General features: G+C 38.0%; 2 annotated features.

The window, feature by feature from the left end:
• Positions 13117-13176: an enhancer, noted in NCBI's record as "active region_15905". NCBI's record gives its function as "activates an Ori minimal core promoter by ATAC-STARR-seq in GM12878 lymphoblastoid cells {active_cell/tissue: GM12878}" and the evidence as "EXISTENCE:reporter gene assay evidence [ECO:0000049][PMID:35858748]".
• Positions 20460-20539: a silencer, noted in NCBI's record as "silent region_11564". NCBI's record gives its function as "represses an Ori minimal core promoter by ATAC-STARR-seq in GM12878 lymphoblastoid cells {active_cell/tissue: GM12878}" and the evidence as "EXISTENCE:reporter gene assay evidence [ECO:0000049][PMID:35858748]".

Below are 24671 nucleotides of genomic sequence, written 5' to 3' on the forward strand. Positions count from 1 at the left end.
AAATCAAGAGATCTAGACCATCCTGGCCAACATGGTGAAACTCCGTCGCTACTAAAAATATAAAAATTAGCTGGGCATGGTGGCACGTGCCTGTAGTCCCAGACACTCGGGAGGCTGAGGCAGGAGAATCACTTGAACCTGGGAGGCGGAGGTTGCAGTGAGCCAAGATCGTGCCACTGCACTCCAGCCTGGCGACAGAGCAAAACTCCGTCCAAAAAAAAAAAAAAAAAATTATTGCTGAAATTCAACTGTCATCTTCACTACTATAATGAAATAAAAAATATTTTGGGGTAAACATGGTAAGTGGAGGTGGAATCCTCAAACCTTCTTTGGCAAAGTTCATGTATGCACTATTTATAATATTTTACTTCTGTCTCTGGCCTGATTTAAAGCCAGTGAGACACATTATGGTAGTTAGGTACTGCACAATCCTTTATCAATAGAGTGTCTTTATTTTTTAAAAACTAACCCAAAATTGGCCAGGCGCATGGTTCACGCCTGTAATCCTAGCACTTTGGGAGGCCAATGCAGGCAGATCACCTGAGGTCAGGAGTTCGAGACCAGCCTGATCTCTACTAAAAATACAAAAATTAGCTGGGCATGGTGGTGGGTGCCTGTAATCCCAGCTTCTCGGGAGGCTGAGGCAGGAGAATTGCTTGATACCGGGAGGTGGAGGTTGCAGTGAGCCGAGATCACACCATTGCATGCACCTGGGCAACAAGAGCGAAACTCCGTCTCAAAAAAAAAAAAAAAAAATACCCTACCCAAAACCATTCGATACTATTGAGTTCTTAGGCCCTGGAGAACTAACTGAGGGCAAAATCACCTGATTATAGCCAAATACTGCTGACTGAGAGGCAGAAACCTGAGTAAATGAAAAGAGGTTGACTAAAAGGCAAAAATGGAAGCTAAGTATGATCCACGCAAAGCAAGCAGGATACTGAATGCGTTTTTATAAGTTAAAGAGAAACTCATCCCTCTAAGAATGTAACACAGCTTCCTCCCATACCTGCTTTATTGGAGACTAGTTTGCCCTTGAAATTTACAATCCAGCTGCCTTTGTGTATATCTGAATATTTCAAGCAGAGTACTGTGAAAACTGACCCACTTATACAATGCAGTTTGTTTAGTTTGGGAAGCAACTATTGAGAAAGACAAACTTAATTCTGGTGCAAATTAGGTCTGTAAAGGCATTCTGTGAGTGTTCATTGGCAAAGTGATCTCTTTCATATAATGGCACTTGTAATTATTCTGATCAATTTTGCATTCCCTATCAATTCATCTTGACTTGGAGACAGCCCAAATTATCAGGGGTGCATTCAGAAAGGCTCTCCAGGTTGTCGGCTGATCAGTGCTGAGGGAAGGCCATGAAACATGTGGCTTGCTCACCATCAGCTCTTTGAAAATGTATTTTAAGGAGTTCAAAGTTATTAGCAGAGCTTTTATAATAAGATATGAGTAATATGGGATTTTCTAAGTTAAAACTTTTAGGGGCAAGACCTAAAGAGAAACTTGGTGCTAACAATCACAGTTTGATTTGCTTTTAATCTTATACTTCAGCTTCTCAGGGATGGGTGGCATTATTCCAAAAGTTCCAAAGTGGCCACAGTTGCTATTTTTCTACAAATAGGAGGTCATATAAGAACATATAAGAAAGGGCTTCTTCATAAATGTTTCCAGATGACCAAGACCAAATTTGGATTATCTATGACATTCTTAGTCTTTTAAATGGCTGAAGACTTAGCACTAGGTGCATTTTCTCCTGGATTAAGTCTCTCCCACTAGATCCAAAAGTCCTCCAGAGCTGGTTCCACACAGGGCTTTGCACAGAGTAGATACTCAGGAATATCTGCTAGAATCTCAAGTCAAATTAGCTCTTGAGACAAGAACTGTACCTCTGTTGAAGGAGGTGTACTTTAACAGAAAGAACACAATGGTCTGAGTTTGAGGAAGTGGGCCCTAGTCTTTGCAATTAACTGGAGTTTCACTTTCCTTATGAAGGGCTTTACTCTAGATTTAGATATATACACATATTTGAACCAAATGGTCCCTAAGGTTCATTCAGCATGGTTCTAAGTAAGAAATAACAAGGCTCCTCTTTTATTCAATTATTGACTTCAAAGTCAATCAAGAAGCTACCCTTTGACGGTACATATGTTCTTATTGTGAGTAACATGGAATGGCCACTGAGGAAGATTTTTAGACGGTGATTTTCTGTGTAAATATGAGAATGACAGGGAAGACAGGAAGCTAGATGCTATCAAAGTGCTGGTTGCATGGTGGAGGGAATACTGGAGCAGGATGGCTCTAATGACTACTAGCTGTATGCCCTTGGACAAGCTGTAAACTCTCAGAAGTCTGTTTCCTCATTTGTAAAATGGGAGACAATACCTCACAAGGTGGTTGTGGCTGTGGGTGTTAAATAGGATAATGCTCATGAGAGCACTTACAAACTGCAAGGCACCATACAAATACAGATGGTATTATTCCTTGTACCAACCTGCCAAAAACGGTTTTTTCAACAAACTCTGAAGTATTAAAATAAAAAGCTAATGTTTTCCCGAAGAACTAAAATTGAAATTCTTTGTTTTCTGCTCATATTATATCTAGGTGTGGAGTGGACAGCAAGACAACTTAAGAGTTAAAATCTAAGCCCAGCGTGGCTCTCCAGCTGGTCTACCACTGACTTCGGTTATCTAACATCTGGCCTCTGCCCTTACTACTATTAGTTTACAATTACAAACAACCTCAGGCAGTGCTGAGAAACTCCATTGCCTGTTAGATGATAAGCTGGGGCACTTTAGGAATTGTTTTGCTTTGTTTTGTTTTTAACTTAAATTTGGTTTGGGCAGACCCCCTGCTGCCATTCCTGTAAGAATAGGTGTGGGTTTCCCCAAGGGCAGTGTTGGGGAAGACCCGGACTGGCATGCATGCTGCACTGGCTGATTTCTGCACTGCATTCCACAAGGTGCCCACAGCACTGCAAGGGCTGCCCTCTGCTTGAGCTCCTGCATGGCTGCTCCCTGCATGAGTAGCTTACGTGCGGCACGGCTGCTCCTTGCATGGGCAGCTCCAGCAAGGCCAGCACAATGCATTGCACGGGCCGCTCTCTGCACGCACCACTCCACGCTCACAGCAGCCCCAGACTTTGAGACTTTAACTGCAGAACAGAAGTGAGAGGCTTCGGCTGGCAGCTGTTAGTTGCTCCTTATTCTTTGTCACTCACAGAAAAAAGAGAAAGATGGTAAGAAGGCAGTGACTTGTTTTCTTTGTTTCTTCATAAATGGAGGCTTTAAGAATATTCTATAGGCCGGGCGCGGTGGCTCACGCCTGTAATCCCAGCACTTTGGGAGGCCGAGGCGGGCGGATCACGAGGTCAGGAGATCGAGACCATCCCGGCTAAAACGGTGAAACCCCGTCTCTACTAAAAATACAAAAAAATTAGCCGGGCGTAGTGGCGGGCGCCTGTAGTCCCAGCTACTTGGGAGGCTGAGGCAGGAGAATGGCGTGAACCCGGGAGGCGGAGCTTGCAGTGAGCCGAGATCCCGCCACTGCACTCCAGCCTGGGTGACAGAGCGAGACTCCGTCTCAAAAAAAAAAAAAAAAAGAATATTCTATATACTTTATTCCTTCAGCCTGCTGTAATTTTAGTATCATCGTTTAAAGGCAAAACATTTTTTCCATTTAATGCAATAAAATGCAAAATAAATAGCCCTTTTAGATTGTTTTACTTTATTCAGTAAGATACATTTCTTTCACCCAAAATTTTTTTTTTTTTTTTTTTTTGAGACGAAGTCTTGCTCAGTCGCCTAGGCTGGAGTGCAGTGGTGCAATCTTGGCTCACTGCAACCTCCGCCTCCCAGGTTCAAGTGATTCTCCTGCCTCAGCCTCCCGAGTAGCTGGGACTACAGACACACGCCACCAGGCCCAGCTAATTTTTGTATTTTTAGTAGAAGCGGGGTTTCACCATGTTGGCCAGGCTGGTGTCGAACTCCTGACCTCAGGTGATCCTCCTGCTTCGGCCCCCCAAAGTGCTAGGATTACAGGCGTGAGCCACCGCGCCCAGCCCAAATGTACTTTTTCTCTTGGGTATATTTTAGTCAACTATTGTATAGATGCTAGCTTACTGAGGTTGCTAAATAATTAACTTCTGATTATCACAGCTTTATTTAAAACTCTTTTTTTTGAGTGCTTGCTATCTGCCAAAGTACATTTTAAAAAGCCGTTTATTTTTTAAAACTACATTTGCTTTAATGTATAGGATGTTAATACATTTTCAGTCTAGGGTAAACTAAAATCAACATAAATTTGTATTCCCTAAACATACACCTCCCAGGTGAGCTGCTCCAAGTTCCGGGCATTCAGCAGAGAAGGTCCACATACTTCACTATGGATAATCCACAGATATCTAAGCACTCTTCCTGCCTATTCTTAATGTCACCCTGAAAAACTAACTTAGTCACAAACAGAAAACCAAGAGCTACCTACAGCCTGAAGTATTCCCAAATCATATATGCAACTATATAAATCATGGAAGGTAATAGTTCTTTTTCTACTTTTTGTAACTGCCTGAAAATAAACCAGAAGTGGGCACATGAGAAAAGACAACTATTTCATATAACAAATAAGTTATATTTTCACCAGTGGCTATTCAACTTTCTCCTCCTCCCCCAATAAAATTCTGATTTCTAACTAATAGAGCAGTCCTTTCATGTTGGTTTTGTCTCTTCCAGTTAACAACACAAAAGAATTACGACGATTCATCCTCTCAATTTTATGTAGCTTTCAGAAGCCAAATGAGCAACAGGATCATCTTGTTAATAAATCTTTCCAATTAAGTTGTGAGTGTAGGCTTATGTTAGATTTTTCAAAGGCTCTCTCAGAAGCAGAGGAGTGGGTTACCTTATTGTCTAGGAGTTCCCAAATGCAGAAAGAGTGTATCTGATGTTAATGCACAGATGTCTTGACTGGGGAAAAAAAGAAAACTCATAAATCATCACCCCACACATTTTAGATGGGAGAGGAAATAGCAGAATGGAACAATTAACAATTACTATTCTACAGAAATTATTTAATATAGTGGAAAGAGAGACAAGGCAGGGTTTAGAAGGCCTGAATTTCAGTCATTCCACCACCATTTACTAACTTTTTTATTCTCTGGACTTGAATTGGCACATTTCTAACATAGGAATAGCCACAATTCTCTTGCTGATCACACAGATTTGTTGTTGGGATTACATGTGAAAATTCACAGATAAGTATTTTAAAAACAGTTTTAAAGGGCTACTCCAGTATTTCTGACATTAACAAATTTCTCTGCATTGCATTCACTCAAGCGTGACTGAAGATGATCAAAGCCAGCCCTTCCACAGCTCTGTCAATTGGGAATCTCTGAAGTGGGTCTGCTATCACCACTGCATGGGGTGACGTCAGGCTGTTGTTTACAGGAGAAGAGAGGCTGCCAATTTCCACTGAGCCCAAGACCTCTATGGCCAGGCTTCTCAGTCTGCACGTGAGCAAGAATGGACTCTTTATGCGTGGCATGTGTGGACATGCACCAGTTCACGTTCAGCGGCACTAAAACAACAAAACTGCTTAACTGCTTGGTGTGTGCACAACAGCATGTACTTTGGATCTTACGATTTCACTAAGAAGACTAAGCAAAATTGATCAAAATGCAACTTTCACTTTTGTTACTCTGAAAGCGGGGAAAACCTGTCATTCGGCAACTTTATCCTCAGTTTGATTTTTAAAAAGCATTTTGAAAGCAAAACAGTTGATTCTAGTTTTTACAGAACTCTCCTCAAGCTCTACATTCACTAACAAAAGAACTATGGACAAAATATTTCAAAGCATGAAATATATTCAGACTGCAGTAACCAAGTTTTATAGGAACCACTTCATTTTCAGAGTGGTTGCAGTTGCTTCCTCCTATAAGTTCAGGAAGTACTCACTCAAGTACTAACATAGTCTAACTGAATCCACTTTGGGGAGATATTTTGTTACATTTATTACTATAAACAGGAAAAAAATCTGGCTTATTAACATTTGCCCATTCATGAAATTTCCTGGCAGAAAGCAGCCTGTTAAATCAAATTTAGAGGGCAAAAAAGAAAATAGGGGCTGCTTTCATTATAATCTTTCTTCAACTATCCATCACCTTCTGGGACAGCAGTCAAATCAGGAATAATATGGGAGCGGATCGTGTTTATAACTGGCAATGAAACTTTACCTCAGACAATAAATCTCGTGTAAATCCTAACACTGGAACACTGAAGAAGAGATGGAAGAGATGTGGGAAATATTCTTGGTCCCTGGAAATTAGTTTCTTTGGTCCTGTTTTAAGTGTAGCTGAAGAAAGGAGAAACTATGGCTCAGGAATAAAATGAAGCCCAGAAAGAATCCCAAGTTCTGTTTTTGGCTCTGCAGTTCATTACATATAATCCTAGGTCAAACACTTAGCCAAGATGGTCCTTATTCTCAGTGTATGAGAAATGGTGATGATAATAGAAAATACTACTTTTCAATTTTTAAGAGGACATAAGAAAAAAAGAAGACAACGAGTGAAAGTTTTATGCAACATTACATTACAGGAACTAGAAAAGAACAGAAACATGGACTGCGCATTCAGCCGGACCCTGGCCATCTCCTCTGAGAGCTGCGGAGGAGAACTCACTAAATAAGGGGGAAGTGCCATGAGCACTTCCTTCATTTTATAGTTAGACATAACAGGAGCATAAAAAGTATGACACCAGTTCAACTTTTTCAGGGTTGGTGCCAGCAAGTAACATTAGCCACATATCCTAAACACGTCAAGAAACCTAAAGAGCTATCTATCCCAGGGTTCCTCCCCAACATAAGTGCTAATCCAGATGCCAAACACCTTTGTAGAAAAATGTGGAAGTAGTTTCAGATTATACTTGAAAATGGCTGTCATCAGCTTCATTCCTTTATGTGGTGAAAGACACCTGAATACACGAATCAATGATGATGTGAAACAATGATAGCAAAAAGGCGGCAGGCAGGAGCATTAATAGTCTCAGTTAGGAATGCTTCAAATGAGCAGGAATTTTATCGACTGAACAAAGCAATGATTAGAGCAGAGCTTCACACGTTTGGAGCCAGTACAAAGTTCATGAACTCTATCTTTAAAAGAATAAAACCTCACATAAAGTAAAGCAGTCAACTTGTCAGTCAAGGCAATCAGTAAGAGGAATAGTAAGAGAAACTGAATTGACAGGAACCCTTATTCTTAATATTTGCCCCTATCCAACTTTTACTTAAAATTCTAAAACTGGCTATTTCGACTTTACTTTTCTAACCTTTTCTGTTTGTCAAATTGACAGGATCACTGAAAGCAATTATAAACGCACACAAAGAAAATAGGAGGACATGTGAAGAATAGACATTTATAACTGGGTTGACCAAGGGCCCGAGTTCCCACTTGACACCCCATGGCGAAACTGCTTGTTGCACTCCAGTACATCAAAGCATCATGTGCTCAATGGTGTGATAGTTAGAAAAGTCATAGTACACTTGCTTACTATACATTTGCTACATAAACTGCCTCTCCAGGAGCACAAAGGGTTCCAAGAACTCACTACATGAACGCTGATAGGTGACTGTAAGCACTGAATCACTTTAGCTTCAAAGACACACCTAATAAAAAGCGGGTGGATCACCTGAGGTCAGGAGTTTGAGACCAGCCTGACCAACATGGAGAAACCCCGTCCCTACTAAAAATATAAAATTAGCCAGGCGTGGTGGTGCATGCCTGTAATCCCAGCTACTTGGGAGGCTGTGGCAGGAGAATCGCTTGAACCCGGGAGATGGAGGTTGCAGTGATCCGAGATAGGGCCATTGCACTCCAGCCTGGGCAACAAGAGTGAAACTCCAACTCAAAAAAAAAAAAAAAAAAAAAAAAAAGACTCAGTTCCATTTCAGTAACTGACTAAACAAAACAGAACTTTTCTTTGTCAAGAACTTTTTCCTAGTCATTAAAAATGCCTATTTTTTTCCCTCATCATATAATGGTGTAATAAGTTTACACTGATACCTGCATCTAGCATTCAAAAGTTAAGATTTAAGTATTCCATACTGCATCTCATTTTGTATTCCTAAGGTGAGAGGTAGGGATACTGCTAGCTGGAATGTCAACAACTTGAACTGAAGAACAATGTAAAAGAGTAATTCTCACACCAACAATGTCAATAAGTGTATGAATAACTAACATAAAGTGAAGCAAAAGAATCTTAAAGAAAAGGCCTCTATTTTAGGAAATGGGAAATCCATTTTAAAAAAACTCCTCATTCACATAATTATTCAGTAATAAAAGTCACAGTTTCTCCAAAATACGTGAACCTAGGTCACCAGAACAGCTGTCAGAGGCCATATGAACTGATTTGTAGATTGCACAGACAAACAAAAGGTAGTGGTAACAAGCACCTCTCCTCCATCATGAAAGTGATCTCTTCTATGCAATGCTTCTTTGTCCATCTCCCTGTCCAATCATCATGTAAGATCAAAACAGAAAAACGAGTGGTCAAATGCCTGTATAACTCTATTAATAACCCTAAATTAGCCCGCGTGGAAGAAGTTTCCATTTTTATCATATTGTTCTTAAGATGCATAAGTACTGCAAAAAATAAAACCAAATCTTCATGACCCATGTCAATCTAGTGTACTTACCATTCAGTAATCACTACACTAGTGATAACGTCAAATTAGTGGTAGTGGAACACAACAGTGCTGAGAAGACATGAGTGTCTTTGTACCACATGGATTTCATGCTAAGGTAGAAAAGATGGATCCATGACCTGGTACACAATAAAGCTTATGTCTAGGGACTTAGCCAAAGTACAGACAAATTTTCTCCAAATATAATCTCTTTTCCAAATAGTTTTTAAAAACTATTGTAAATACATTTTCCTTAGCTGGTCAACAATTTTTCACTGGTCATCCTGCAGTTTTCAGTCAGAATAAGAATTCCTCGAGAAAAATGAAAACAATAAATGACCTGGAACTATGGCAGTTTGCCCTTAAAATCCATCGCACACAACTTGAAGTTGTAGATCTTGCCCATGAGAAGCTCCAAGAGAGTACACAGGAATGACAGAATCAAGAAAGAAGCAAACACAAAGACAAAGCGCTAGTGATTGCTCTATCATTGGAGTATAAACCTTCAGTAATAAGTGGCAGATAATACACTCTGGACTCTTCGTTGCTTTCCAATCCACTGAATTAGACTTTTGTTCCATTCTCTCAGGTAGACCAAGAAGTAGGGGCAAGAAACACAGTTAAAACATTTCTCAACAGAGACGAAAAAGAGAAATTGAGTCAGTCCAACTGCTTAGTCTCGACTGGTTTTTACCTGCTTGATTGTCTGAAGACAAGAATACACCCTGATCCAGCAATGAGTATGGTCAACTGCACAGCCATGAATAAACGTTTCCCATACAAGACTTACACATCACGGCAAGGTCAGTCTTAACTCTAGTTGGGAAATTAAATGTTAGTTTGTTTGAGCTTTTGGATCTTGATCTTGGCTTTCTTTTTTTAGCACTGGGTAGTGGAAATAAAAATAAAATCAAGCTATTAGATGGGAAACAACAGACATTTCACTTTTCATTTCAGCCTCTGAGCCATTAGTAACAAACCTTGGCTAAACAGTAAAAGCATTTGTTACACAGCAAAGGGAATCTTGTCCACAAAACTTTTCTGCAAGGCACTAACATTTAAAATGTGCTCAAATGAAACCAAGCTTCATAAGTTATAATCATATTTCATCCTTCTTAAAAATAACCAATAGCACTTCAAGGAATGCAATATGAATTTCAAATTTTTATATTCTCAAAACTCAGCACTTTTAAACAAAATTATAGCCACAATGTCCCATTCTCTGGCTTCTTTAATAAAATTATAATTTATCTCAGAGTTTTGCTTTCATTGTGCAGCATTACAATTATAGAACCTAATTTGAAATGTGTTAGAATCATCAACACACACTTAAAGAGTTCCTTTAAAAAACATCTCTCTGGCTGAAAAGATTCATGCCAGCAGAAGCTCTGAATTATGGATCGAACCATCCAAAATCTGAGTATTTTCAGTATTCACAGAGCCTAACAGATCAATAGCTACTTCAACACTAAATCTAAAAATTAAAGACACTGAAAAAAAGTAACAGAAAGGAACAGGCCAGGGTTCAGCATCTTCCAAGTCAAGAGAGAGACCAGACTTTTCACCCTTCTTCCATTCTCTTGCCATGGAGGATGGCAGAGTTAAACGTTCTACTTACAGGGGTCAACAGGCATCAATAACTTTCATTCAAGAGTGATCCTGTCATTTTGGAAGAAAATTTAAAAGGGAAGAACATCCCATGTAATTGGGTTGTGGCAATTTTGCAGGAAGTCACAGGTGTTTCAGAAGTGCTTTAGAAATACCATAGCGAGAAAAATATGACAGTCCTTCTCTCTCTATTTTGAAAAGGGCATGCCTGAACAAAGACCTTCCATTGTTCCTGCATAGAGTATTGGAAAACATGTCTTTGGAAGATGACTCTCTCTTGCAGTAGGTATGAGAGGGTTCAAGACCAAAGAATCCAAAAGAGATTTATTGGTAAATTAGACACAATTTTTTTTTTTTTTGAGACAGAGTCTTGCTCTATCACCCAGGCAAGTGTGCAGTGGCGTGATCTCGGCTCACCGCAACCTCCACCTCCCGGGTTCAAGTGATTCTTCTGCCTCAGCCTCCCGAGTAGCTGAGATTACAGGCACCCGCCACCATGCCTGGCTAATTTTTGTATTTTTAGTAAAGACGAGGTTTTAACCATCTTGGCCAGGCTGGAATTAGACACGATTTTTTTTCTAAAGGAAATTCTGTGAAACTGGAGCAGCTACACTACTGTGGTGAGTCTAGATTTTCCTAAAATATCAAAGACCTGGTCTATCCTGGACAAACAAGTTACTATATTTCAAACAGCATTTTATTTTGCTTACCTTTTCATGGGTCATCATGGTTTTCTTTTCATAAAGGGGGAAATCTATTTCAACTCTGTGTTTATGGACAGCAAAGCTGAAGAGATTTTTTTTTCACATTTGATAAATATGTACAACACACTGTTTTTTCAGTGTTATTTTTAAAATATGGGGTCTTGCTATGTTGCCCATGTTGATGTCACACTCCTGGGTTCAAGTGATCCTCCTGCCTTGGCCTCTAGAGTAGCTGGGACTACAGGTGCATGCTGCCATGCCTGGCCTTGTACACATTGTTAACAATTTCCCTTCCTCGGTTTTGGAAAAATATCAAGTGAAGTTGAAATTATGTAAGATGTTTCTAGGGATATATTACAGAAAAATTTTAAAAGAAATATATAAGAAAAAAATAAGATGGGCAAGATAGGTTAATGGAAGGTCTGACCAATTTGCAAAGCTCACATAAAATGCTATGCCCTAGATAGTGAGGTGAGAGGTCAGGTAGGAGACCAGCCAAGGGAGAGTCACTTACAAATGCTTACCAGCGGCCAGGCGCGGTGGCTCACGCCTGTAATCCCAGCACTTTGGGAGGCCAAAGCGGGCGGATCACAAGGTCAGGAGATTGAGACCATCCTGGCTAACACGGTGAAACCCCGTCTCTACTAAAAATACAAAAAATTAGCTGGGCTTGGTGGTGGGCGCCTGTAGTCCCACCTACTCGGGAGGCTGAGGCAGGAGAATGGCATGAACCTGGGAGGCAGAGCTTGCAGTGAGCCGAGATGGCGCCACTGCACTCCAGCCTGGGCGACGAGTGAGACTCCGTCTCAAAAAAAAAAAAAACAAAAAAAAACAAATGCTTACCAGTATGGAGGGTGGCAGCATCAGTGGAAGATAGGATTTTATATAAGATTGAAAGGAGAGAAGAAAGAACAGGAATTAACATTTATTAAATATCAGCTTTGTGTTTGTTGTTTTACTTATTTTATGTCAGTAATAAGCATAGAGGTAGATATTATTGTTCCCATTTTACAGCAAAGAAAATGAAGTCTTAGAGACATACCCAACATCCATTCCTCCCTTCCTCTCCCTAAGTGAACGCCATCCTGGCTTTAGGGGTAGGGTTACAGGTTAGTCCAAGCCATCCAGGGCAGAACGCTCTCTGAAGACAGTTACTGATCCAGAAGTGGGCAGAGATGCCCAATCAGACAGGAAAACTGACGGTCCATCCCTGTGGAGAGGTTTCTGACTTCTGAATATGGTGATATATGGCTATAAACCAGCTGGAGGAAGGAGGTGAAACAAAGTCAGAGCCAACAAGGAGCCTGGCAAGGCAGAAGGACACTCAGAACCTGAGCTCCAGAACTGACCAACCCTGAAGCCTGCCCTGCCTCTGAATTTTTTTGTGTGAAAGAATACATTTCCTGATGATTCCAGTGAGCTTGAGGGCAGTTTCTAAAAGCATCTTAACTGATAAAAGAACTTCACTTCTGCAAGGTCACCTCCAGTGAACAGGCAGAGCAACTATTTGAACCAACACTGTTCCTTCTGACTCAAGACTGAACTTCTTCCACTAAACCACATTGTGGCATGAACTTTGAGAAATGTTTCTTTCTTCTCATTGCTATGATCATGAGTTGGGAGAGCTAGAAAAGATTTTACCTCACTAAACATAGAAAATGTGTTTACCTCATAAAAATGTTTGAAGTAGTGGCCTCACTTGTAAACACAGAGAAGAAATGCATATCTTTACCAGAAAATTTCCAGAATTCCATATTCTGTGAAACTTCTCACTTTATATGCATTTAATTTTTAGTAGGATATAAATTCATATGTCTTTAATGAACTGAATTTTTGAAAAGCATTCCAAGTTATTACCAATTTTCCTAGGGATGATAATGGCATTGTGGTTATGTAGAAAATGTCCTTATTCTCAGAACATATATTCTGAAGTATTTAATGGTAAGGACTCATGATGTCTGAAACTTACTTTCACATGGTACAGGAAAAAAGTACTCATACAGAGAAAGAGGGACAGACTCATAAAGCCAATACAGCAAAAGGTTAATAACTACTGAATCTGGGTAGAGAGAATATGGGTGTTTGTTGACTTATTCTGTTAGGTTTTCTACATGTCTGAAAAGTTTTATGATAGAAAGCTTGGGTATGGGGGAATACGGTATGAGAGACAGCATCATAGAGCACAGTGTGGCTACACATTACAATAACCCAGGGCCTCACCTCTGGGTTGTGGCCTGGACATAGGTGATTCCAATGTGTCCTGCTAGTGTTGTAAAAAGAGCTAGAGCTTTCAAATCACTCATTAATGCCCTGGTAGCCCCAACCCCAGAAACACAATTCTGATCATTTTTATAGACTATTTTTTTAATTCATGAAAATTTGCCAATGTTCTAAATTTAACATAGGCATTAATTCCAACAATAAAGAAGCTTCAGCCCAGCACTGTGGCTCACACCTGTAATCCCAGCACTCCGGGAGGCTGAGGCAAGAGGATTGCTTGAGGCCAGGAGTTCAAGAAAAGCTTAAACAACCTGGTGAGACTCCATCTCTACAAGAAAAAGTTAAAAATTGGTCAGGCGTGGTGGTTCACGCCTGTAATCCTAGCACTTTGGGAGGCTGAGGCAGGTGGATCACCTGAAGGTCAAGAGTTCGAGATCATCTGGCCAACATGGTGAAACCCTATCTCTACTAAAAATACAAAAACATTAGCCGGGTGTGGTGGTGGGTGCCTGTAATCCCAGCTACTCAGGAGGCTGAGGCAGGAGAATCGCTTGAACCTGGGAGGTGGAGGTTGCAGTGAGCTGAGATTGTGCCATTGCACTCCAGCCTGGGCAACAAGAATGAAATTTCGTCTCAAAAAATAAAATAAAATAAAAATTATCCAAGAGTGATGGTGCACACCTTGTAGTCCCAGCTACTGGAGAGGCTGAGGTGGGAGGATTGCTTGAGCCTGGGAGGTTGAGTCTGCAGTAGGCAGTGACCACACCACTGCATTCCAGCCTGGGCAACAGAGCAAGACCTTACCTCAAAAAAAAAAAAAAATTCCTGATATTATACATACAGAAATTTGCCTGATATATATACTGGGCAACATAAGGAATGTTTGATTAACATTAAACCACCAATTAACAAACTTATATTAAGGTATCTGTACTGTGCTGAAGACCATACAGGCAAGAATAATTGAACAAACCTGGTTCTTCCCTAAACAAATCTATTCATAGAGTCTATGGCCCAACATGCCAAAATTTAATGTATAACATGCAGGGGAGAAAAAGGAATATTTAAAAAGCATTAAGCCATTTAACCTCTTCCAAAAAAAAAAGAAAGAAAGAAAAGAGGAGGAAAAAGACTCGCTAAAATCATGCTCTTTACTCCTTGCCAAAGATAAGTCACAATCTGTTAAACTATAAGAAAAGGATTCCTTGAAGAATACACAACTCCAATTCTCCAAATTCAAATTTGGGCAAATTACTTAAAGATACTCCAGTGAGTCTTACATATGGTAAAAAAGCTCTCTAAGGTCCTATATCTAAATTTCAACGGGCACAAAGCCCTCCTTAATTCTATTTATCTTTCTTACTTGAAATATGTGTTTCTGGGGTATGAGATATAGGTGAATAAAGGGTGGATGAAATAAAGAAATAAAACATAAATAACAAACTTTAAAAATATAATTCTTGGCCGGGCATGGTGGCTCACGCCTGTAATCCCAGCACTTTGGGAGGCTGAGGCCAGGAGTTCGAGACTAGCCTGGCCAACATGGTGAAACCCCGTGTCTACTAAAAATACAAAAAATTAGCCGGGAGTGGTGGTGGGTGTCTGTAAACCCAGCTACTCGGGAGGCTGAGGCAGAAGAACCGTTTGAACCCAGGAGGCGGAGGTTGCAGTGAGCCAAGATCGCGCCATTGTACTCCAGTCTGGGCAACAAGAGCGAAACTCCATTTCAAAAAAAGGAAAATACCTATTATAAGAAATGTGTGTGTGTATATATATAATATACAATTGTATATATAATATATAAAATATATATTATATATAATCGTATATTATATAATACATAAAATATATATTATATATAATCGTATATTATATAATATATAAAATATATATTATATATAATCGTATATTATATAATATATAATATAAAAATATATATATATATATATATATATATATATATATTTTTTTTTTTTTTTTTTTTTTTTTTTTTCCCTGAGACGGAGTTTCAGTCAGTGGCCCAGGCTAGAGCACAGTGGCACAGTCTCGGCTCACTGCAACCTCCGCCTCCTGGGTTCAAGCAATTCTCCTGCCTCAGCCTCCCAAGTAGCTGGGATTACAGGTGCCCGCCACCACATCTGGCTAATTTTTTGTATTTTTAGTAGAGACGGGGTTTCACCATGTTGGCCAGCCTGGTCTTGAACTCCTGACCTCAGGTGATCTGCCTGCCTCGACCTCCCAAAGATAATAAGTATTTTATCCTGAAAATATACCTTACAATCTGGTTGGCTTTTTTAAAAGTTTTATTGATATATAGTAAGTGCATATATTTAAAATGTACAATTTAATAAGCTGTGACATATGTATACACCCTCAAAACCATCACAACTTTCTAGATAATTAACAAAATTAACACCTTTGGTGGCTTTTTGAATCATATAGATTGATGGTTCTAGGAGAAATCGTTTTCAGGAAAAGAAACTTTTCATACAGATAATCTTTTTTTTTTTTTTAAAAGAAGTATCCACATAAGTATCCGAATACTGTTATTAACAGATAAACATTGAGACTTTGGGTTTTTTTTCCCCTAATTTATTTATTTATTTATTTTTTTGAGACGGCATTTCGCTCTGTCTCCCAGGCTGGAGTCTAGTGGCACGATCTTGGCTCACTGCAACCTCTGCCTCCTGGGTTCAAGCAATTCCCCTGCCTCAGCCTCCCAAGTAGCTGGTATTACAGGCACGCACCATCACGCTCAGCTAGTTTTTGTATTTTTAGTAGAGATGCGGTTTCACCATGTTGGCCGGACTGGTCTCGAACTCCTGACCTCAGGTGATCCGCAAGCCTTGGCCTCCCAAAGTGCTGGGATTACAGGCATGAGCCACCACGCCCAGCCTTTTTCCCCTAATTTAAATATAAGAGATAAGCATACGTTGTATTATCCTATCTTAGATTTAGCTCCAAATGAACAAACACCTGTACTATAAAAACAGAGATTCTTACTATTTTCAAATATCCAAGAAAATGAAAACAAAAGCCACAGTCACATAATATTTCATTTGAGAATTTAAACACACACACACACATCAGGAACTTCAGCTAATTCCAAAGCAAAACAATTTAGAGAGATTATATCTATAAATCATAGCAATATATGCAAACTTCCTAAATTTGTTATATTAGGTCTGGAGGACACCCATCTTGTAGGCAGGGCTGCTCTAGGGAAAACCGAGGAAGAAAGCGTCTTCAGTAACTGTCAAAAGCCTCCAACCCACGTTTTATTCCCCTTCCAGTGATTCTTCCATTTTTTTAGGAACTTCCCTTGTCCATGGGGCCCATATTGATGTATCAGGCTTCTCAAAGCTATGAAATAATTTTTTTAAACAGCTTCTCACTCTGTCACCCAGGCTTGAGTGCAGTGGCTCAATCATAGCTCACTGCAGCCTTGACCTCTTGGGCTCAAGCCATCCTTCTGCCTCAGCCCCTCAAGAAGCTAGCTGGGACCACAGGTGTGCACCACCACCTATAGCTAATCTTTTTTGTGCAGAGACAGGGGTCTCGCTATGTTGCCAGACTGGTCTCGTACTCCAGGCCTCAGGCAATCTTCTCAACTCAGCCTCCCAAAGCACTAGGATTACACGTGTGAGCTACTGTGCTCAGTCTTGAATAATTTTTATTCTCAAGAAACTAAAATATATCCATACTGTGTCCATATATTCTATTCTCAGGTGCACTTTTTGCTTCCCAAGGTGATAGCTAGTGAATAATAAATGGGTAAAATGTGTGCTCCATTCCCTTTTCCTCCCCTCTCTTGCTGAGCCACTGCAACAGCTAGCGCAGAGACTATTCTACCCTTAGGTGTCCAAGGACAAAAAGAAAGCCTGCTAACCATTTTTGCCCAGACTTAAAAGGAAAGATGGATTCCCAGGAAGGCCACTTAAAACTTCTTCTAGAAGGTAAGTTCACTTGATGCAAGACTAGGCTTACTGTAGTGGTCCACCCTAGACTTCCCATTAAGCTAAATTACATATTGCCTAATATAAATGATTTAATTTTCATATGGAGCTCTTTTGTCTCTAACTGGACTGTGAATACCATTATAGGCAGATGCCATGTCTTACTATTAGTCTCTGATAGCCTCAAGCACTTGGGACATGTATTAAATATTAATAAAAATGAAACAATTAATGAAAATCATTATATGTTATACTGTATTAATGCTACTTGTACTGCATAGATACTTAGGTATATCTACTTTAATATTTGAGGTGGAAATGAACCCTAAGCATTTTATTTATTTGTTTCTTTAGGAAATTACATAGTACAATCATAGAAACAAAAAATTAGTTCTTAATGTATACTAGACAAAGAAAACTTAAGATTTTCTTGCCAATTGTGCAATATAGCAGAGACGACTCCATTTCCATTGTGTAATTTTCAGTGTTACCCTTTTTCTCAGGCTCTATTACAAAGAAAACAAAGCAATAGGATAAAACAACTTAAAAGTATAAAGAAAACCTAGGAGAAATTTCAGACTCTGTCCACTGTAAGGTTTTCCAGGGTTCAGAAATGAGGATGATTCATGATTTCTGTTGGAAACTATTGACATTATTGTTTTTAATATTTCAACTCAAATTCAAATAAAAATTGTCCATTTAAATGAAATTTTGTTTTAAGATTTAGGATTCCTTTTATACCAAGTCAGCAGGCATAAAATCCATGTAAAGAATCCTTATTTTTTTCAGGTCATTATTGTACAATGTTTCATTATAACTACTCCAAATAGTAGATAACAAGCTGTAAATACCCCCAAAATAGTTTGGAATTTCCATAAAGGCAAGTATATTCATCCCTCTTCTTCCCCGCTATATCATACGTGTTTAATAAGAGTAGCTGACCCATAGTAAGTGCCCAATAAATATCTGTTGAATTAACTGAATGAGTAAATGAATAGAAGCCCAAAATGGGACGTATAGGTATAAAAAAGATCAAACTTCTTCCATGAGGCATAGATTTTATAAAGTACCATTTCTGGGAAATATCTTATTTAATCAACTCCAAAACTCAGTTTATCTAATTTTGCATTCAAATTGTTTAAAAAGTAAAAATAGACTTTGCTTTTTAAATCAAAAGGAGGACTTATTTTTGTTTAATTAAAGCTTTTCTACTACTGATGTCTAAATATGTCAGATATTTTGAGAAACTATTAAATATTTTCTCCAGATCAATGACGTTTGGTCCGTACAAAAACTCTTACTTACAGGATTTTTATGTAAATCTTTCTTGTTTAAAAATACATTTTTTATACTCTGATTTTCTGGATAAAAAGAACCCTTAAAATCAAAACTAAAGTTAACTCAAAGGGATACATTTCATTTGAGTTGAAGCCATAGAAGACAATGAAGCTGATGGTTACTTCACCAACGACCATTAATCATTCCACAACGGTGAACCTTGGAAAATGTCACAGTGGACATGGTCTGATGTTCTGCCTGGCTTTAAAGAGCCAACAGCAAAACAAAACAAAACAAAAGGAGCTGCTCATTCTGGCTAATGTGATGTTCTCAGGCAAGCCACCCTCCTCATGGTCAGGTGGCAATGATCATGGCAGAAACCAACTCCAAAGCTCACCAGGGAACCAGACATGGAATGAAAAAAAAAAAGCTTGGATGAAACATTTCAAGATAATGTGAAAAGAAAAAAATCTGTGGGCTCCTCCACATAAAATAGATTAATAGAAAATCAGTAAATAATAAATATGTTACAGTTTTCCCTTGTTACCACCTCACACAAGCTATAACTTGGTCTTAGGTTTAAATAAAAACTCCTACTCCATACCTTATATAGAGGCAAATGCAAAGGGAGCTAACAAAAAAAAAAACCTGCTATGATCAAGGAAAAAGAATTCCTATGATTCTTGGGAGGCAGACAGGATAGAGTAAAATGAAGATGCTGCATAAAAAGAAAAGACAAACGTGGAAATATTAAGAAAACTGAAATACAATGTAAGAATAAAAAGAAGGGTGTGAAAAACAGATGAAATTTAAATAAAAGGTAGACTAGTTTGATCATTTTATTTAATATGTTAAAGGTCAATATTCAATACCAAAGAGTTATACATACCAACACACGACACATTATAAACATCAATGTGAACTTTAAATTCAAAAAGAAAACTGATCATTCTAAGTTTCAGTGGGTTGGCTACTGAACAGTAAGGACAATATGTTTTTTAAAGTTGCTTTCTGCTTAGAAACCTCACATTTGAGGATCACTATTCACTCTTCTTAAAGTCAGTTAGAAGAAATATTTCTTTACATGCCTTATTTGTTTTAATAGTTGTTATTCTGAGTAAACTAGAATTTCATTTTCGCTTAAAAAAGTGAGTAACATCATGAGGTTGTGACAATTCTGCTAATAATCACAGAGACATAAAACTGAATTCAAAGGAATGTATATAATGCTAATTATATACATTGACTTTTAAATTTTAATAATTCCTAACTCATTGTTAGGGACACAGTTTCTTAAAACGCAGCCTTTCCACACAGGCCTTCCCTAGCTTTCCTAAATACAAAATTAGCTGAAATAAATTAAATCCTCCAAGCCACTATATTTTGAAATAATGCATATTTCACTGCATTCAAGGTAAAAAAAAAAAAAAGTTAGTATAAAGAAGGGTCCTTTCCAGGGATTCCATTCTTCTCAAAAAAATAAAAATATAAAATAAAACAAGATGGGTCCTACAGCCAAGTAATCCTTTCGAAATTTAAAAGTAAATAATATGATTAATTTTTCTATTTAAATACACTGCTAATGGAATCTAAGTCTGAACATGTTTTCCTGCAATGCAAATATAAGTTTTATAAACTTTAACTTAATAAAATGTATTAACTCTCAAGATACCTGAAGTTTGTTCTCAAAAATATCAACATCTGTTATAACCCAGGATGTACCAAAATCTCAGTGTTACAACATTTAAAACCCCATTCAGCTAAACCAAAGTTCATTGCTTCTTTAAAAGGTACCATATATATATTTTTGTGAACATACTAGTAAGAAGTCTCTTCACATATAAAATTAAAAGGAAAAATGCCCATTAGGTAAAAAATCTGAAAGGTCACAATTTTTAAATAATGATGAACAAATATTCATTTATAAATGCTAATGTTTACTTTGTATTTGCTTGCATTGTGTCCTTCTCAAATGCTTTTAAAAAGCACTTACAACTGACCCCTACAACTTCCTCTGTGAGTGAGCAGAGGGTAACTGCCTTCACTCATGGAGAGTGGTAAAGGTTAAGTGTAATGCTCAAGGTCACATGCCAATCAGTAGCATCACTCAGTATAGAACTTCATGGACCTTAATTCTGAGTTTATGCCATAAGATAATGCATACGTTATTTTCTTCTCCTTTTGATTACTGACAAAGTGTATAGATAGTTATCCATGTTCCTAATGTTAGAAGACAAGGATAGAAATCGCAAGCCTCAAAGGTTATTTCTACCCTTCCTTGCTCTTCTTTCCAAATAATTGTACACAACAAACATTGTTTAAAAAAAAAACCTGCGGAAATTGTATATGTCTGTAAAACACTAATAAATACCCAAATGTCCTCACAAAAAAAAAAGCTGAAAGAAAGAAAGAGGTGTGACCTATAGAATAAATGGCACGCTAAAATGTGTCAAGTGAAAAATAGACTTTCGATCTTGCAACCAAACACTTAAGCATAGGTTCTAAGTGCTTATAAATTATTATTTTTTAAAGTTTCACTGTAGATTAGCTGCTTTAAATGTATCAAAACAAAAAAGGGCAAGTTTTCTAAATTAATTATTTTAGCCAATGAAAATGTAATATATTCAACTGAACTGGGTAACTGATGATTTGGTTAAACGAAGATTTATATACACAAAATTGCCCACATTGTAATAGATATTTCATATATGTGTTTGAAAAGTTTTAACAATGTGATGGAACACTGTAACAATTCTGAGTAGATTAGTATTCAGATTTTATTACCAAGGATCTCTAATGAAAGATAATTCTGGCTTTTTATAACTTCAGAGGGCTCAGTAATTAGACTGGATTTTATTGACAAGTAAAATAGAATGATTCTATAAATGAGGCAGGCGGTAGGCCCCATGAACTTTGCTTATTTTGAAAAATATATTCCCCAATTGAGTAACCATATTAAGCGTATGGTAAAGTTTAGAGTGTGTTTTATTTACTAATTACATATGCTTCCTTTATGATTCCTGCCACACTATTTAGTGCAGCTATTTCAATAGCTAATTATTTATTAAGACTGCTCAAGAGAAAGTTTCACTCTTGAATGGAAAGAGAATAAGGATGTGGTCCCTAAGGAAATGATGCCATTTTAAATTTCACAGGATTAGGCTGATACATTATTATTATTAATCTGTAACAGATAATAACATCATATCATCATTTTTGGGACATTCCAAATCTAATTCATATAATTCATATTAATTATTAACAACATCCAACTTAATGACAGAAAGTGTGGGAGTCAGATTTTATGATTAAAAACTGGACATGTCAGGTATCAAAGAAGGATATGACAGGCATACTTTTCAGACTATTTTCTGTTTAACCTTGAAAATAAAAAATAGTTCCATAATGAAGAGTAAATTATACTGTAATTCCTCTCATTTATTCTCTATTTGCAAAAATTGAGAAAGTGAAAATTCAATTCAATAATACAAATAATAGTATTACTTATATTTGTATAAGTATCACTTATAATGTCACTCAACTACTATAAACATGAGAGTAGCATTATTTAATTAATTTCACATGCATTAATTAAGCTTCTTTAAATAAAAGGTACTGGGCACTGGAGATTAAATTATAAATGAAATACTATTCTTACCCTCAAAGAGCTTTGTTTAACAGGAGGGAAAACCACAGATAACAGCAAATGTGTGATATGTATTACACTTTAATAGAGGTATGTACATTCTATTATGCAAGTTTAAATGAAAGGGGATCAACTCAATTCATTCAATAGCTAAATTTCTTTTTTTTTTTTTTGAAACAGGGTCTTACCAAGCACAGTGGCTCATGCCTGTAATCCCAGCACTTTGGGAGGCCAAGAGGGGTGGATCACTTGAGGTCAGGAGTTCAAGACCAGCCTGGCCAACATGGTGAAACTGTGTCTCTACTAAAAATACAAAAATTAGCCGGGCGTGGTGCCGCACACCTGTAATCCCAGCTACTCAGGAGGCTGAGGCAGAAGAATTGCTTGAATCTGGAAGGCAGAGGTTGCAATGAGCCAAGTCTGCACCACTGCACTCCAGCCTGGGCGACAGAAAGAGACTCTGTCTCCAAAAAAAAAAAAAAAAGAAAAAAAGAAAAAGAAAAAGAAAAAAAAACAGGGTCTCTGTTGCCCAAGCTGGAGTGCATGCAGTGGCGTAATCACAGCTCACTGCAGCCTCCACCTCCAGGGCTCAGTAGCTGGGACTACAATCATGTGCCACCACATTCAGCTGATTTTTGTATTTTTTGTAGAGACGGGGTTTTGCTGTGTTGCCCAGGCTGGTCTCAAAGTCCTGGGCTCAAAGTCCACCTCAGCCTCCCTAAGTGCTGGGATTACAGGCATGAGCCACTGTGCCTGGTCCAGTAGCTCTATTTCTTAAAGAGTCATACAAACTCTAGATTAAAAGTATAAATCTCATAAAACATTAGGCATATTGATAAAAATTTTGATTATTTTATTGATAACAATAAATTTATCTTTACAAAAAATTGTCTAAAAAACATATTCATATTTCAAGATATGCAAAGCACATAAGAGTTAAACTTGCAAAGATGCACCAAAGACTACTCAAGATCTTTGCATATATTAACTCATTCTGTGCGATCACAATAACCCTATGAAGTAGGTGCTATTATTTCCATTTTACAGATGAGGAAACTGAGGCTAACTTGGCCAAGGTCACAAAGATAATGAGGAAAAGCTGGGGTTTAAACTTACGGAATCTGGTTCTGGAAGCCCCACTTTTTTTTTTTTTTTTTTTTAATTATTTTGTAGAGACCGGATCTCACCATCTTGACCAGGTTGGTCTCAAATTCCTGAGCTCAAGCCATCCTCCCACCTCAGCCTCCCAAAGTGCTAGGATTACAGGCATGAACCAGCGTGAGGTCCTACTCTTAACCACTACACTAGACACCTCTCTAAGACTGCTGGTGATGATGGGGTAGCTAACCTGGAGTGCTCTGTGACATGTACTCTCATGCAACCTTACAACAACCCCTTGAGAAGTCATTCTTTCCATCTACAGGACAAAACCCACAAAAGCCAGGTTAGAAACGTCCCCCAAGGTCACACAGCCAGTGAGGGATGGTGGTAAGATTCAAACTCTGGCAGCATGGCTCCCTTGTGCTATGAGGTCTTTCAATAATTCAGTCTTACACTCATAAAAAAGGTCACATGATAAAATTTACTAAACAATTCAAAAAGGTTTTGTGTAAGTCTTCCTGAAACACTCTGGAAGGTTTTGGGGCTTATGACAAGCATTTCTTTAAGACAGCATTTACATTTAAGTCACTTTTCATCTTTACTACTTTGGGCTGATCATAAACACATTTCTGCTCTTTAAAAAGAAATATTTCTGTAGCAACTTGGCAGATTTCGGTACAGGAACAGTCTATTCTTTAAAATTAAATTTAGTAACAACTTATTCTGGTTACTCTGAAAGAGAAGGAGAGAATGAACTATTAAGAGGCCTTTCCTGTACTTTAATGTTTCAAAACATGTTTGGTTTGGCCTCATTTGAATCTTGTGGACAACTAGCCCAGAACTTGACTCAAAAAGAGTAATACCATTTTAAAACAGCTGAATTCTAAAAAGCAACCTCAGAAGCCAACTCTGAGCAACTATTTCTCATAATTTTTACTTTTATTTCAAACAAAATATGAAAGATGCATATGGCAACATCCTCATAAAGCATATATAGACAGGTATTTGTACTTCTGAGCTATGGACAACCAAGAAACCAAATCAAAATTTTACAAAATTCTGTAGTATGACATTGCTGAACAAGCAATGAAGTACACAAAAGATGGATATCAAAAGAGAAATAATCCATATTTCTCTCATATCCTTAACATGCTCCATTGTGTCCAGTGACTGAGAAATTTAAAACTCTGTGTTGTAATGCCTCCCTGTAACAGAGGTGAGCTAAAGATGAAGTGTCAAGCTGGATTTCCATCTTACCTTGCTTTCCCCCAACAGGTTCAAAGACTTCATAACCTTTGATACGGACTTGATATTTTTTCAATAGGGAACCCATAAAACTATTTTCAAATAAAAACACTAAGCAATGCCACTAGACAATCTGTCTTTCTCTGCTTTATCGCTGCCCTATCGCCACGCATTAAAATTAAAAATACCTTTCTGCCTTGCCTTTATTGAATAAAAGTTTAACTTTGAATTAGAAGA

The sequence above is a fragment of the Homo sapiens genome, chromosome 2, assembly GCF_000001405.40.
Source record: "Homo sapiens chromosome 2, GRCh38.p14 Primary Assembly".
Taxonomy (NCBI): Eukaryota; Metazoa; Chordata; class Mammalia; order Primates; family Hominidae; genus Homo; species Homo sapiens.